This window comes from Homo sapiens, chromosome 7, assembly GCF_000001405.40.
Source record: "Homo sapiens chromosome 7, GRCh38.p14 Primary Assembly".
Taxonomy (NCBI): domain Eukaryota; kingdom Metazoa; phylum Chordata; class Mammalia; order Primates; family Hominidae; genus Homo; species Homo sapiens.
This window is the reverse complement of record NC_000007.14, coordinates 115,116,855-115,131,790: the sequence shown is the minus strand read 5'-3', so window position 1 is coordinate 115,131,790 and position 14,936 is coordinate 115,116,855. Positions and strand designations below refer to the sequence as shown.

General features: G+C 36.1%; 2 long non-coding RNA genes across 2 annotated transcripts in view; one reads left to right on the top strand and one right to left on the bottom strand.

Annotated features, from left to right (window-relative positions):
- Positions 1-8,192, top strand: part of LINC01392 (long intergenic non-protein coding RNA 1392) — a 107,757-nt gene extending 99,565 nt beyond the window's left edge. Inside the window, exons 3-5 of the long non-coding RNA NR_126407.1 lie at positions 2,247-2,320; positions 5,243-5,320; positions 8,111-8,192. This is a non-coding gene — a long non-coding RNA (long intergenic non-protein coding RNA 1392). The remainder of the gene's footprint in view (positions 1-2,246; positions 2,321-5,242; positions 5,321-8,110) is intronic.
- Positions 5,477-14,936, bottom strand: part of LINC01393 (long intergenic non-protein coding RNA 1393) — a 47,357-nt gene continuing 37,897 nt past the window's right edge. Inside the window, exons 2-4 of the long non-coding RNA NR_120521.1 lie at positions 12,966-13,058; positions 9,544-9,613; positions 5,477-6,348 (exon numbers count right to left, since the gene is read on the bottom strand). This is a non-coding gene — a long non-coding RNA (long intergenic non-protein coding RNA 1393). The remainder of the gene's footprint in view (positions 6,349-9,543; positions 9,614-12,965; positions 13,059-14,936) is intronic.

The following is a 14,936-nucleotide window of genomic DNA, read 5'->3' as shown; positions in this document are numbered from 1 at the left end:
ATATTTGATAGACCTTCCAGACAACCACAGGTATCTGATATTATTGAGCATTGGAAATACTTCCTCAAAATTAAGCCAAAAATATTTCTGACTCTAACTTCCATACCTCCTCCTGGTCTGCAATGTTAGTAAGGTAGTTTGGTCATTGAAGACAATTATCTCCAAAAAGAGATCTGTTCCTCTCACCTGCTCTATGGGTAATAGGCAGGTCAAAGACATTGAGGAGCTACATAGATTTATTTTGAAAAACTGACATTTTGCTCTGCCCATTCATGAACATGGTGTATCTTTCTTTCCCCTAACCGTTACCTCAGGCAGGACTGGTTGCTGTACCCTATGAACATCAGCATGGTTAAAAGGGGGCCTAGGGGACTCAAACTTAATTATGGGCAGTCACCTGGATTCTCTTATTGGATATATGTATATAGTCCTAGATTATGAGAATATTGAATATTTGCATAAGCATACTCTAAGCCAAGTATGCTATGGTAGCCCACCTTGGCAAAAGTGGGCAATGTTATGTGTCTCTGTGAGTTTTATAAAAATGCACTGTTGTATAATATTTGATACTTCCAAATGAAAGATCTGGATGCAAATAGAAGATGACTGAAAAACAAATGGCACAATTGCTATGTGAATGGGAAATGCTGATTTTGTGCCAGTGAAGGGAGAGCAACAACCTTAGCACTTGGATGGAGAATGAATAAAAATCTTAGGGGAGAGTTAGGGACATTGAGACACGCTGTTTGTCAGAGCCACTCTGGAGGCATCCTCCTAAATGAAAACACCGTGATACTCATCTCCCAAACTGTTGCAAGAGCTTTATATTAAACTGACTTTCTGCGTCCGCCATTCCTACCAGACTGCTCCTACCATGATTTGAAAATTATCCCCTCAAACATAGAGAGAAGTTCATCAGAAAGAGTACACAGAGTCCTAGCTTCTGCACCTCACATACAAATCATCTTTCAACACCCCCATTTATCAATTTGCCATTTACCATTTGTCAAGGCTTAATCATTGCATGGAGCAGACAAATGTCACCAGGCGGATGACAAGACAAACAGAACAGATTAGACTGGCTCCCCCTCCAAACACAAAGACTAGTTTCAACCATTTGAACTAAGTTGGGAAAACTAATACTGACCAGCTGGCCTGGAGGCTCCATCAGCCTGTAGCCTCCAACTTGTGTAGGTCCCACTTGGGAGGCCCAATAATTGTAAATAGCATTATCTCCATGGCACTGTGACACCTTCAGGAATGGACTTCCTATATAAAAGCCAGTCATGAACTTATTTCCCTCCTGAAAACACAGTGACATATACCTTAGAGGTATTCATAAGAGACCTCCAAGTGTTTAAGGAAACACCACCAGTGGATCAAGAAAATCTCAGATAACTGTAGGAATCTCTTTAAAGCTAGGCTACTCAGGGATGCTTCCAGGAGGAATGACTGTTTTACATCCTGTGGGCTGTTATCCCTAGATAGAAGTTATCCACATAGAATAGGTAATATAGAATTTGTCCTTGAGTTTAGCTGAAGTGATCAATGACACCACTGGAGTTGATGATGGAGTGTATTCCCTTGGGAAAAACTTGTCAGATGCCAAGACAGTATAGAAACAAGGTGTGGATATTAATGAAACACAAGTCTTTATCAGTCCCACGGAAATCTGCTTATACTGGAAGTAAAGGCACTGGTTGCCTTTGTGCTTTGAAGGATGTTTGTTTATCAAACAGCCTTGGAAGATAGAGATGGTATCTCCCTCCAGGAATAATTATTGTCCAGCAAAATAAATATAATGTCTCCCTCCAGAGCAAAGGCTGGCATGCCTAACTTTACACAATACTAAGTACCTAAGCTCAGGGGTTTTCTCCTGTATTGCAAACAAATGCATGTGCTGGTGTCATCTACTATCTTAGATCTAATTGCTCTTCCATGCCCTTCGTCCACAGCCTTCCTCCAGTCTTGGTATTTTTATTGTTTTCCATTCACATTGAAAGTTGGCTCTGTCTTCATGGCCCTTCATGGTTCTTCACTCATCTTCTTTGAATGTCTCCCTCATGTTGTGCTTCCTTGAGCTGTCCTACTTGGTTAGCTCTAGAACTCCTCTGTCTCATTACACTTTGAGAAAATTCTGAATCTGACTTCTCTCACAAGAACAAAATACAATGTCCAGGAGGAAAAAAACAGTAACATCAAGACTGAGAAACTAGAAAGTGTTTTGATCAACATTTTCTTTTTAGGACTGTTTTCTATTTGATTGGGAAGTGTTAGAATGGCAACAGTGACAAATCCTGTGGCAAATCTTCATGCAAAGGTAAGTGATGGCTATATATATATAAAAAAAAACAACTTAGAGTTAGGCTCCCAATGTGGCTCCATGAAGTCCACAATTTACATTTCAGGTAAGCAGGATCATTGAAAGCAAAGCATTCTTCTATGGAAGCTGTGTCTCCAGTCTCCATGGTTTAAAGAGGTGCAGTCTAGTTGCAATTAAAGTTAGGCTTTGGGTTCTGGCAGGCAAGGGTTCTATTACCAGCTCTGTCATTTACAAGCTGTGTAACCTTGGGCAAATTACTTAATCTCCTTTAACCTCAGTGTTGTAATGTATAAAAAGAAATTATAAAGGTGCCAATGCCAGGGGTCATTAAATAAAGTATGTAAACCATCATAGTTGACAATTGTATGTGCTTATTAAATGTTAGCAACTCTCCTAAGTCCCATGTATAGGCAGAAAGCAAAGACTGGATTTGAACCCAGACTTTTGATTCAATGTTTATATAAAAATGGTCTATATGAAGTGATCCTAACTAAAAGATGATTTATTTGTATGACTATTGTAAGCTCAGAATGTCATAACAGATGTAAAAGCACATTAAAATTGCTATAAAATATGACATTATTGTTAAACACATAAGTAAACAAACAGATGTGGTTATTAATCTCAGACCAAGAGATTTTATTATTCAAAGCACTTTCAGAACACATAGTTATATAACGTAAAAGATGAAATTACTTGGAAAGTGTTTGAGAAATTAGACATCTTTAAAAGCTCTCATTCTAACTGTACTATTTGGATGATAGATCATTAAAAGATTTCATAGCTATTTCTCTGTTAGAAAATGTTCTCATTCACAACATAATCTTTCACAATATATGTTATTTACCAGATACTTAGATTTTAATCTAATCTTGGAGTATTAATGTTTAAAATGAATATTACAAAAACCCTAAGAAATAACTATCAAGCAGATAGAAACAACCAAAGTACCTGTAATAAAAGTCACATAAACTTCTGCAGTACAAATTGGGTTAGTATTTTATATCCTTTATAGGCAGTAAATGCTCTATTTTATCATGTAAAGTCATTTCTAGCTACTCCATGTAAATCAGAAACCTGATACAATGTATCATAACACTCTGCCCCGTAAATACTTTTTGAGTCATACTTTGTTGACCTTACCATCATATGTGTTTATCAAACACATTCACAAAACCTACTTGTAAAATACATATTTATGGACGCTTGTCAAAATTTCATTAGCTCTGTTCTAAGCATTCCAGAGGTGTCAGAATTTCTCCACATAATCTATGTTCATATGAAGCCATGAAGTCATGAAATCAAACCTTTCACAAACAAATGTATTTTCCCCCGGCCTCCTTTACATCTGAATTTTTTCCCAGAGACTTGAAATCTTTCACAGTCATTCCAGTGTGATGGTAACTATACCAGAAAAGAATGTCACAATGTTTAGGTGTTGTAGGGACAAAAGTACTATGAAAACAGTGGGATCCTAAAGCAAGGCATGATCAATAGGCTACCCTTTAAAAGTGATAGTCTCTAAATATTTCTTTTCCATGCATTTAGGATAGAGGCTAAGAATTTCATTGTGAAAACGGGAAAGGGGCCACTGCTCTGCATGGTTAGACTAATACAGAGCTTAGTACCTCCTCTTAGTCCAGGTTAATCAGCTTGGTCTTAAAACTCCACACAGTATTCAGCAAAACCAAAGCCCCTCAGAGAACTACATCCACCACCTGAGAAGCCGCCATATTTTATTACACCCTCCAAGCTAAAACAAAATATTTCTTTCTGTTTCATAGAATATTTTTCCTGAGAGAAAATAAGGAAACACCATTTTCACCATCTTGTTATGTTTCCAGAGATATCTGATGCCGCGATAATGTTTTGACATACTTGAAAGACTAGTTCTCTAGCCAACTTCCTGACTGACTCCTTTTTCATTCTGTTCTAGGTGCTAAGAATTCAGTGATGAAAACATGATGTATCCTAGGCATGGAAATAATATTCTAGTGATTTCTTCTTGACAATTAGATTATGTTGAATTTAGCAGCGATTTTTTTTTAACTTTTACTCTAGTAGTTTGTTGGACTCTTTTTCCCCATTTCCAATTTTTTGAATTATGAGTTAATTTTCTTCCTTCTAATTCTCCTCAGTTTTATTCTCCATATAATTTGCATTGTATTTCCATTTTAAAATCCAATAAAATAAAAATCATATAAATGCTGAAGCATCAAAATTTCTCTCATTCCCAAACTCACTTCATTTCTAGGTAAAATTGTAGCATACACTAACAAACACTGTCCAGCCGAGAAACAGCAGTATTGGAATCCTCAGCCCAATTTTTCATTAGAAAAAGTATAGAATATCTTACCCATGCTCACTGTAATACTCATTTACCAAAACTGATAAAAGGACTTATTTATTGTAGAAAATATGGAAAAATTCAGGGTATTTTCCGCACACACACAAAAAAGATCTTTTCTGGTGCCTATAAACCTTAATTTTTTTTGTGCCTATTATTATGACCAATTTCTTTATAATTAAATAGCTAATCACCATCAGTATACTTGATAATCAGGTAGTGAATTAAGAGTGTAGAAAACACTGCTAGCACACCAATCCACTACACTGAGTTTGAGTCTTTTTATATCAGACAAACTGAGTGAAAGGAGTTTGGCTTAAAACAAGGAAGTCCACAATTTAGTGGAAAAATTATTTATATATATATATATATATACACACATATACATATACATCAAACTATTTGGTGTGTGTGTGTATGTTTGTGTGTATGTGTGTATGTATATAGATAGAGAAAGAGAGGAGTTGATCATATTGTCATCCCATAAAAACAATTTTCAGCAATTTTCTCCATTTTCAAATTTCCTGATGGCTTCCTTTCATTTTTGCTTTATCATTTCTATTTATTTTCAGGTCTTTGGTGTTTCTTTAATTTCATATATATTACCTACTATGTGACAAGCACACTGTGCCAGGTTCCAAATATAAAAGGTAAGGTAAGTCACGTGAGCACCTGTCTTCACTGAAATTATAGTGTAGTATGAAAACAAACATTAAAGAAATTCATGGTTTAATAAATATATAATTTCAAATTAAGTGCTATAAAGGAAAAGAGCAAGAAAATATATGAAAAAATAACTGGAACCACAGAATGTAAATATTTTTATTAGTAAATAGTTGGCACAGCTTAAATGTCCATCAAAGGATTTTATCTAGAAGTAAATAAACAGACTATAATTGATATATGAAGGAAATAAAACACCTTAATTTGCACATTAAAGAGCCGACCTTCAACAATAGGCAACCAGATGGTTAATAAAACAGAATGCCATTTATTGAATGCTTATTATGCTCCACATTTTATGCTAGACCCTTCACATATCTTATATTAGTTGAGTTTCATAACAACACTATAAGGTAAGCATTATTTTTCCCATTTTATAGATTTGGTATTAACTAATTTCTTCTTTTTCTGCACATACATTCACACACACATAAATATAACCAAACAAGCAGAGTCAGCATATTTGGCTAAAATGTATTTATTCATTCAGAAAAAAAAAAAATTATCAAACATCTACTATGTGCCAGGCATTGTTCCAAACATTTGGCATAAATCAGTGAATAAAACAATCAAAGATCTCTGTGTTCATGGGGTTTACATCCTTGTGAACAGAAACATACAATAAGTATACAAACAAAAGTAATAAAATATAAATTATACAGTACGATTATGATATAATAAGAAAAAATATGTGGCTTTATTATGAGAATAAAAGTGGCTTAAGTTAAGGAGAATGGGAGCACAGTGGTGAGAGGTGCTTGCAATTCTAGGTAGGGCAAAAAGTAGGCACACATTTAAGCTGACATTTAATGAAGGTAACTTGGACAAGGCGAAGGAGTTGGCAGGAGTCTATCTGGAGCCATAGAGCTCCAGGCAGAGAGAACAGCAAGTGCAGAGTCCTCAATCTGTGGGCTTGTATGCTGCGTACCAGGAAAGACCAAAGAGGAGAGTGTGGCTAGAACCAAGTAAGCAGGGAAGAAAGAAGAAATAGAATCAGTAGGGAAAATAATTCCGTATGGTCCTATATAATTCCTTTCATTTAAATAATATTTAGCTCTTATTTATTGCAGGAAATGAAAGTATTCATTGCAGATAACTTCTAGATATATATCCTCCATCTTCCATAAATGTATATATAATATGTACTTATATTATATTTTATATATTATATTTTTTATATATTACACATTTATATATTATATGATATATATTATATAATATAAATAATACATCATATATAATATATTTGTATACATTATATATTTTTGTATTCTATAAATGATAATATTTATGTATTATATATTATATATTTATATATACAAATATATTTATATATTTTATATACATGTTATATATATAATATAGAAAGAGTATTTTGGAACCAAAAAAAGGAATCATATTCTACCTAATATTTTATAAATCAACATAATTTTTATATGCAAGCAACCAAATTGTACACATTTATATTATTCCAACTGTTACCCAATGTCTTAGCCATCTTAGGCTGCCTTAACAAAGTACCATAAACTGGATGGCTTAAATAACACAAACTTATTCCTCACAGTTCTGGAGTCTGAAAGTTTGAGATCAGGGTGCCTGCATGGTTGGGCTTTGGCAAGGGTTCACTTCCTGGCTTGCAGATAAGTGCTTTCTCCCTGTATCCTCACATGGTGGGGAGGGAGAGTGTGTGAGCATGTTTCTGGTATCTCTTCTCATAAGAGCACTAATTCCATCATCATGTCCTCACCCTCATGATCTCATCTAAACCTAATTACCTCCCCAAGTCCTCATCCCCAATACTATCACACTGGGGATTAGGGCTTCAACATATGAATTTGGGGGAGATAAAATTCAGTCCATAGCATTCTATTATTTCTGAACATTGAGACTTAATTGATTTTTTAATGGTATAAATAACCCAGAGAAAAAATAAATAGTGGAAAATTAATTAGAAACTAAAAGAAACATTTAAAAAATAAGTCATAAGGATTACAGAATTGCTATTTATTGGGAAAACAAAATCACCAACTTGAAAAATCAGATATTGTGGATATTAGTTTTTATAATAATAGTTCTTCTACTAAGTCTTAAAGCCAAACAAATTGCTTCAATTATACTTTTCTTGAACGTACTGCTTTTTACAAAATTATTTTCAATTGAACCACATGTTATTTTTTTTGTTAATATGACCTAAGTCAATTGATGCCAAGTGAAATGGGGAATTGAGATGTATTTCCATGAAATTGCAGCTTTGATGACCTAAATTATTTCTGTGGATCAAATTAGGTAAATAAAGCTTATTATCACTTAAAATGCAGAAGGGACTCCACTAGGCCCATAATATATACTTAATAAACACTTGTTGATTGGTTGGTTAGCATAGACAAGAAGGCATGGAATTAAATGGAAATGACACTGTTTCCAGTCATTGATGAAAGCCTTGCTATACCTTGCAAGAAATATTGGCATTATATTCAGTGAAGGACAGCATGCAACAGCCCCAACCACACAAAATAAGTCAACAAATTCAAGAAGTTCTAGGTATTCTCATTCTCATCAGACTTATCAATAGGAAACTGACAATAACATTACTTCTATTTACATATTGGTGCCACACTGGCATGGATTTGCATAATGTATTGAGGCTCTATGCTCTAGAGAGCTGCATTGTAACATATTGGTGCTTAATGAACTCTGAAAAAATTGATTTTCCACAGAGTAAATTAAGGAATGCATTATAGCTGTTAAAGCAATCTTAAGGGAAATCCGAAGCTTCCACTGCAGCACCATGCTTAGTAAGTAATAAATTACATGTTATAGTTATTTGCCTTAATTCATGCTAATTTTGTCCAATTAATGTATCACAGTAATTCAGAAGCCTGTCACAGGAGAGCTAATTATTTATGGGATTTTTGTGTTCAGCTCCCTAGGAGTCTACTAGCAAACAAACTTGCGACTGTCTTTCTCTCAGGTCCACATTGACATTCTTATGTCTCACTGTAGGGAAGTAAAATTTTTCCCACTGTTTCCAGTTTTAAAAATTGTGGGGTATCTAAGGCCTGTTCTTGGTTTTTTGATTGATGAAATAGTTTGACAGCCTGCTGCTCTGTTAGGACAAGACCTACTTTCTTCTGTATCAAACTATTTCATCTTATAAGTCTCTATATTTCAGAACTCTCATTAAGGAAAAAGACAGTTTTTAAAAAACTATGCACCCAAGGTGAATTGAAAAAGTGCAGCAATTATCTGGATAATTCACACCAGAATTCCGCACTTATATTCCTTTTATTATTTTTAGAGCACTCCAACAGATTGTCTAGATACTTGTATTCACCTCATCTGCACAGTCTTGGTTCTAAACCTTAAAAAGGCCACATGCAGTATGCTAAAATGTTGTTTGAAAAAAGATTGAATCTAACTCACAATGACAATTGATATCAGCTTTGTAAAAGTAGATTTTTATTTTACTGTGGTGCCCTGCTAATTCACAGCCCCCCAAATGAATTATTTATGAGATTAATTTGTTCAATTCATACCTATAAATAATGTGGCAGTTGCTAAATAATTTGCACACTATGATAAGATGCAGACATCAGAGTCAAAAAGGCAGTGCTTCGCCAGCTGAGAAATGTTCACTATCTTCTGGAATCCTGACAGACCCAGGCATTTGCAAACAATTATTTGCAGAGTAGGAAGCCTTTGATTTCCTGTTTTGCTCCCTCCTATGAGTATCAGGAGACACTTGTCTGCTAATTATCATCTTCCAGCCAAATGAAAAAGAGGTGACACCTCTTTAAATCCATGATGCAGTGATGTTTACCAGCAAGTCCTATCACAGTGATCCAAGCTGGCAGTAGGTAAAGCACACCACTGTTTGTGTCACACACAGAAAAACTTTACAACCCTCTTTAATTTGATGGGAGGAGGAAATGACATCTTTGTACTCAACCACTTTATACTAGCTTGTTTGCCTTTAACCAATTGAGTATCTGAGAAGCAGCACACTTCTCCAAGCTATGTACAACTTTATACTTTAATGCATGATTACTTCAGAGGAAACTGCCACCACCTACTGTATAATGTTATTTTTCCTTCCTCTCAGTTGTTTTTATTACCCATTCAAAACTGGAAATAAAAATTATTTTCTTACCAATTAGCTGTCTTCTCCATATGGCATTTAGGTTTCAGCCACTTCTTTCTTTCTGTTATTCTTTTTAAAACTATAATTTAAAAGGTTAAAGTGAACATGTCACTTCCTTGTTCCTTTCCTTATAGGACAGTGGTATTATGAATGATATTACTTGTTGGGAAAATACATTTGCAACCATAGCTTTGGCCTTTGTTAATTTTGACAAGTTGGAATAAATAAAATAAAGTAAAATAAAATACCTGCCTTATTACTGAATAGAAGTGCTCCATGGTAAATGCAGATGTGGAAGACTCATGTTGATTATTTCATATGTATTCCTATTCCTTCTAAGGTCTAAACTCTCCTAACACACACCACCCCACTGCACAGTATTGAAGCCTTGCACTGCGTTGAGTGTCTTTTCTTTAATGAAAGACTTAAACATTTTTGCCCTCTTGATTCATCCTTTGCATACATTTTCTTTCCATCAAATTTTATAGGACCATGACAATAAAATCTTGAGTCCTCACTGCATGCTAACTGAGAGAATAAAAGTTCAACTTCAACTTTATCCAACCTGTATATTTTAGATTAGTTAATTTTTTTTCTGGATTCCTAAAAATCTTAGTACATTAGTAAGTTAGTGATGCAGGACAGGTAAGTATCAAATTGGGGCTTAGCCTGGGAGGGTTCTTGACTTTGCTCAAGAAAGAATTTAACACTGAGCTGGTGGTAGAAGAAAACAGCTTTATTGAGGCAGCAGTGTTACAGCTCCATGACTGCTCCTACAGAGCAGGGCTCCATAGTGTGCTGAGAGTAGCAGCTTAGAGGCAGTTCTGCAGTCATACTTATAACCACTTTAAATTACATGTAAATTAAGGGGGATTATGCAGAAATTTCTAGAAAAAGAGTAATAACTTCCAGGTCATCAAGTTACTGCCATGGAAAGGGATGGTAACTTCTGAGTGTTGCCATGACAATGGTAAGCTGACATGGCACATTGGTGGGCATGTCTTAAGGAAAGCTGTTTCCACCTTGTCCCTGTTTTAGCTAGTCCTCAATCTGATCTAGTGTCTGGCCCCACCTCTAGAGTTGAGTCCTGCCTCCTACGCCAGTAGGACTAGCCAGGCCATAGCATCTATGTTTTGCTGATCCTTGAGAACACAAAACCTGGCATGCAGGGTCTTCTGACTATAGGTCTCTTCAGCTCAGATAACTTAAGTGTTTGTCCTGTGTTTTACAGGTTCTTTTCCTTCTCAGCGTTCTGACTTTACCTCCCTGGACTTGTTTGGGAGACAATCACTCTGAGCCTTGTCAGGCAGGCAGGACAAGGCTGCAGGTGGACCGAGCAGAAACTGCCTTGGTCTATGGCTGGCTGCAGGACCCCTGGGCCTAAACTGCTTCACCTTTAAAGCATGGCCAGCCAGAGCAGATAATCACTAAACTTCCAGGTGTAATGTTTTGTTTTTCTCTAAAAGCACAGTGACAACAGGGCTTAACAAGTAATATGAAGATTCTTCCTGTCCTGCAGAGACAGACCCAGGCCTAGGAAGGGATAAAGAAAGTTATTGTCTCCCTCAACCTTTTTAAATAAGGAAAAAAGGATACTATTGGGTTTTTTTTTTGTTTTTGAGAAATTTAACTAAGTCTTGTTCTTTTTCTGAGGTGCCCACAGTCTAGGTTATCATTTGTTCCATTTTTAGTAGCATTTTAGGCTCTGGAACTGAAAGATTTTTGTGTCCCAAAGTCTAAGATAATGGTGACAAAGATCTGTTTGTCCACCTCCACTCAGCGGGTCTGAGGATTCTGCGCCTCAAGGAGGTGGGGCAAGGTCAAATTCAGCATCTCCCCGTAGGAATCAGAGGAAGCAGCATGGTGCTGAACACTTCTCTCTCTCTCTCTCTTTTTTTTTTTTTTCTTCAGACAAGGTCTCCTTCTGCCACCCAGGCTGGAGTGCAGTGGCAAGTCACAGGCAAGATCATTACATACTATGGCCCTGAACTCCTGGGTTCAACGACCCTCCTGCCTTAACATCCTGAGTAACTGGGGCTACAGGTGTGTGCCACTGCACCTGGCTTCTTCTTCTTTTTTTTTTTTTTGTTTTTAATAGTATGGCTCACACTCCACAAAGTAAAACCAATTATTGAATGTTCCCAACACAAAGAAAGATAAATGTTTGAGATGATGGATACACGAATTACTCTGATCTGATCACTATACTTATCTGTATCACATCACTGTGTACTCCATATGTACAATTATTATGTCAATAAAGACATTTTAAAACTTTTAAAAAGGAACACCAATTAGGAGACACAGAAAAGCCTAATTTAACTAACTTTATTTTTCAGTGAAAAAGAAAGAACGTATCATTGAAACTTTAAAAATAACATCTATTTTAAGCAGGACCATTTGCTTTCTCTTCTTTGATGTAAACCTAAGCTTTTCATGCTATAATATGTTGTCAATATTTTCCCATCTTATTAAATCTGCTGTGACAACAACACTTTAAGGATATTTAAATCATTTTCAATCTTTCTCCATTATAAACAATACTCTAATTACCATTCCTAAAATGTATCTGTGTTAGGAACTTATGGCTATCTATAAATGCCCTGGTCCCACACAGACTAGTGGAATCACAATCTTTGAGTATGGAACCTAGTACCTGTATTATTTAAAAGTGTCCCCAGGTGATTCTAATGAAAAATAGGTAAAGCAAAGGCTGTGAAAGACGTTAATAATTTTTGACCTTAGGTTTTGACTCTTGAAATGGTCAGGGACACATAATACTTCTACTTAGGATTTTTATTATTTTTACTTAGAAACAAAATTAATATTTTGTGGATGAGAATCCTAACTAACCTTTCTTTCTTCAGCAATCCTCCTATCAACCACTTAAATATAAGATCCTGATGATGGAGGTGCTTTCATAATACTATTTGTTGCCCACTTTCCCTTTCCTGGGAAATATCTTAGAAGCATGTAATGCTAGTGGTTTAGAAGAGTCCTCAACCTTTTTGGCACCAGGGACTAGTTCTGTGGAAGACAATTTTTCCATAGCCGGGGTGGGTAGGGGCAATGGTTTTGGGATGTTCCACCTCAGATCATCAGGCATTAGATTATCATAAAGAGCATGCAACCTAGTTTTCTCACATGCACAGTTCACAATAGGGTTCACATTCCTATAAAAATTTAATGTTGCCGCTGACCTGACAGGAGGTGGAGCTGAGGCGATAATGCTCGCTTGTCCACCATTCACCTCCTGCTGTGAAGCTCGGTTCCTAAGAGGTCACAGATGGGTATTGGTAGACAGCCGGGGGTTTTGGGACCTCTGGTTTCGAATAAACAGGAAGAATTACAAGTGGTTTTTATGCAGTCTACTACTATTAAGAAATGAATGACTAATACATCTTATTTCCTGTGCCATAAAATATAGATACCTTTAAGTGGTGCTGGATGGTTAGTGGTCAGGATATCAGTGTTGTCCGCTTGCTCCTTCTGGGATAGGACAACAGTATTCTTCAATGGCTCCTCTTTGATACAGTGCAAAAAACAAACAAACAAAAAAAAAGTTAAAAGCTCGGCAACAAAACAAGCACATTTAAGAAGTAATTGTTAATGCAGCAAATATCCATCTATTTATAATTTAATTAAAATATTTACTGAGGAATATTAAGAATCACTTACTCTCCTCTGTGCTGAAGCTACCATAGGACATCAGACAGTCAAGGTTCTAACTCTCATGGAACTTGAAATCTATCAGGAAAGGTGGGCAGAAAGGAGGAAGTGAAGAAAGAATGGAAAGAGGGAAGAAATGTCAGATGGATCCCATGCTGAAAATTAGAGATGTTATGGAGGAAGTCCGAAACAGATTCTTTAGATTGTGTTGTCAGGAAAGCTTCTTGGTAGAAGTGACAATTTAAGGTAAGATCTGAATGGCAGGAAAGAACACCAGTCGTTCATGGGATAATCAGAGACTAAGAACATTTCTGGATAAGAAAAGAGTTACAGCAAAGAAAATTCTAAGATGAAAACATACTAACAAAAAAAAAATAAAACCTGAAAGAAGAACTAGTACATAGTCTATACAAAAGATCATAATTATCTCAATGTCTCTTAGAAATTAATAGGTCACATTTCCTAACAAATCCTTCATGGCTAGTATAAGCATTACACTCCCTAGTAAGAAATCACAAGTGACAGCTGACATCTACATCATTGTTGGGGTTCAATTCCTACAACTCTTCATTGGTCCTAATCTGCTGATGTTCAGACTCCCCTCCTAGTATCCACATTCTTGGCTCCGTGCCTCAGTTTTGCACTCTCCTTGTCCCACCACTAGGCTTTTTGCTTTCCCTCTAGGCAGCTCCAGTCTCAATTTCCCTGCTTAAATTTTGGCTTTGTCCATTAACCAAGGCAGGTTCACCAAGTGCTTTGCATTAGCCCCAGCCCCGATTATATTTTCCCACCCTTTTGACTGACATTCCAAAGCAGTCTACCCCCTCCTCCACCCCATTCCTGTGTTCCACCTGCAGCAAAGAGAGGCAAATTATATATTAAAATGTAAGGAAATTCTGTAATCATGACTGGACTGCTATAAACACAATTCTTCTTGAAACATGCACATGTACAGAACCCAGCAAGAATTTCTTTGTAGCAATGGTTCCATTTAATGAATGGCAGAAAAGAAGAGTAAGACTACATAAACACCACGATCTGTTATGAGTCACTTGGTTTGTTAGGTAGAGTCTGATAATTATTAACTATCAAGAATGAGCTTAGTAAATTGAGAAGGCTTTTCTTGTTTCTGCACTTCAGAAGTTTTGATTTTATTAGAAGTCAAAATTGTAGGGAAAAAATTTCTTTCACTTCCAGTTACAGAGAGGATATTAGGCTGCGTAGATCCAATTGTCCGCCTTCTGGAGTTCCACTGAACTGCTTAACCAGATGTCCAGCATTAGGCATGCTTATTCAACCACACTTGACGTTAAAGTGCCATGCTCACATCAACTGCATTGTAAAGACAAAAGATAAATGATATTTTGGTAATGAGAATAACCAACTTGAGTCCATGATTTTAGCATGTTAAGGGTTAGACCTATGTAAATTTATTTCATATTTGTGAGCATGTATTTTCATTTTTTGAAGTTTATTGAGTGTGCCAATAGGAGGACTAACTCTAAAAGTCATTTTTTAAAAAAATGCAATTGTCAACATGGCACAATTTGGCACTTCCTGCACAAAAGTGCTGTTTATTTAAATTGCTTCCTCCTGGTATGGGGCAATGAGCACTGGATTTGGAGCACTGTATTTGATAATGACTTCCAAGTTTTTTTCTCCTGCATAGATCTTGCTACTGATCTTGAGGCATATATGTTACTCTACTCACATCCGAGTATTCCTTTAGGTAC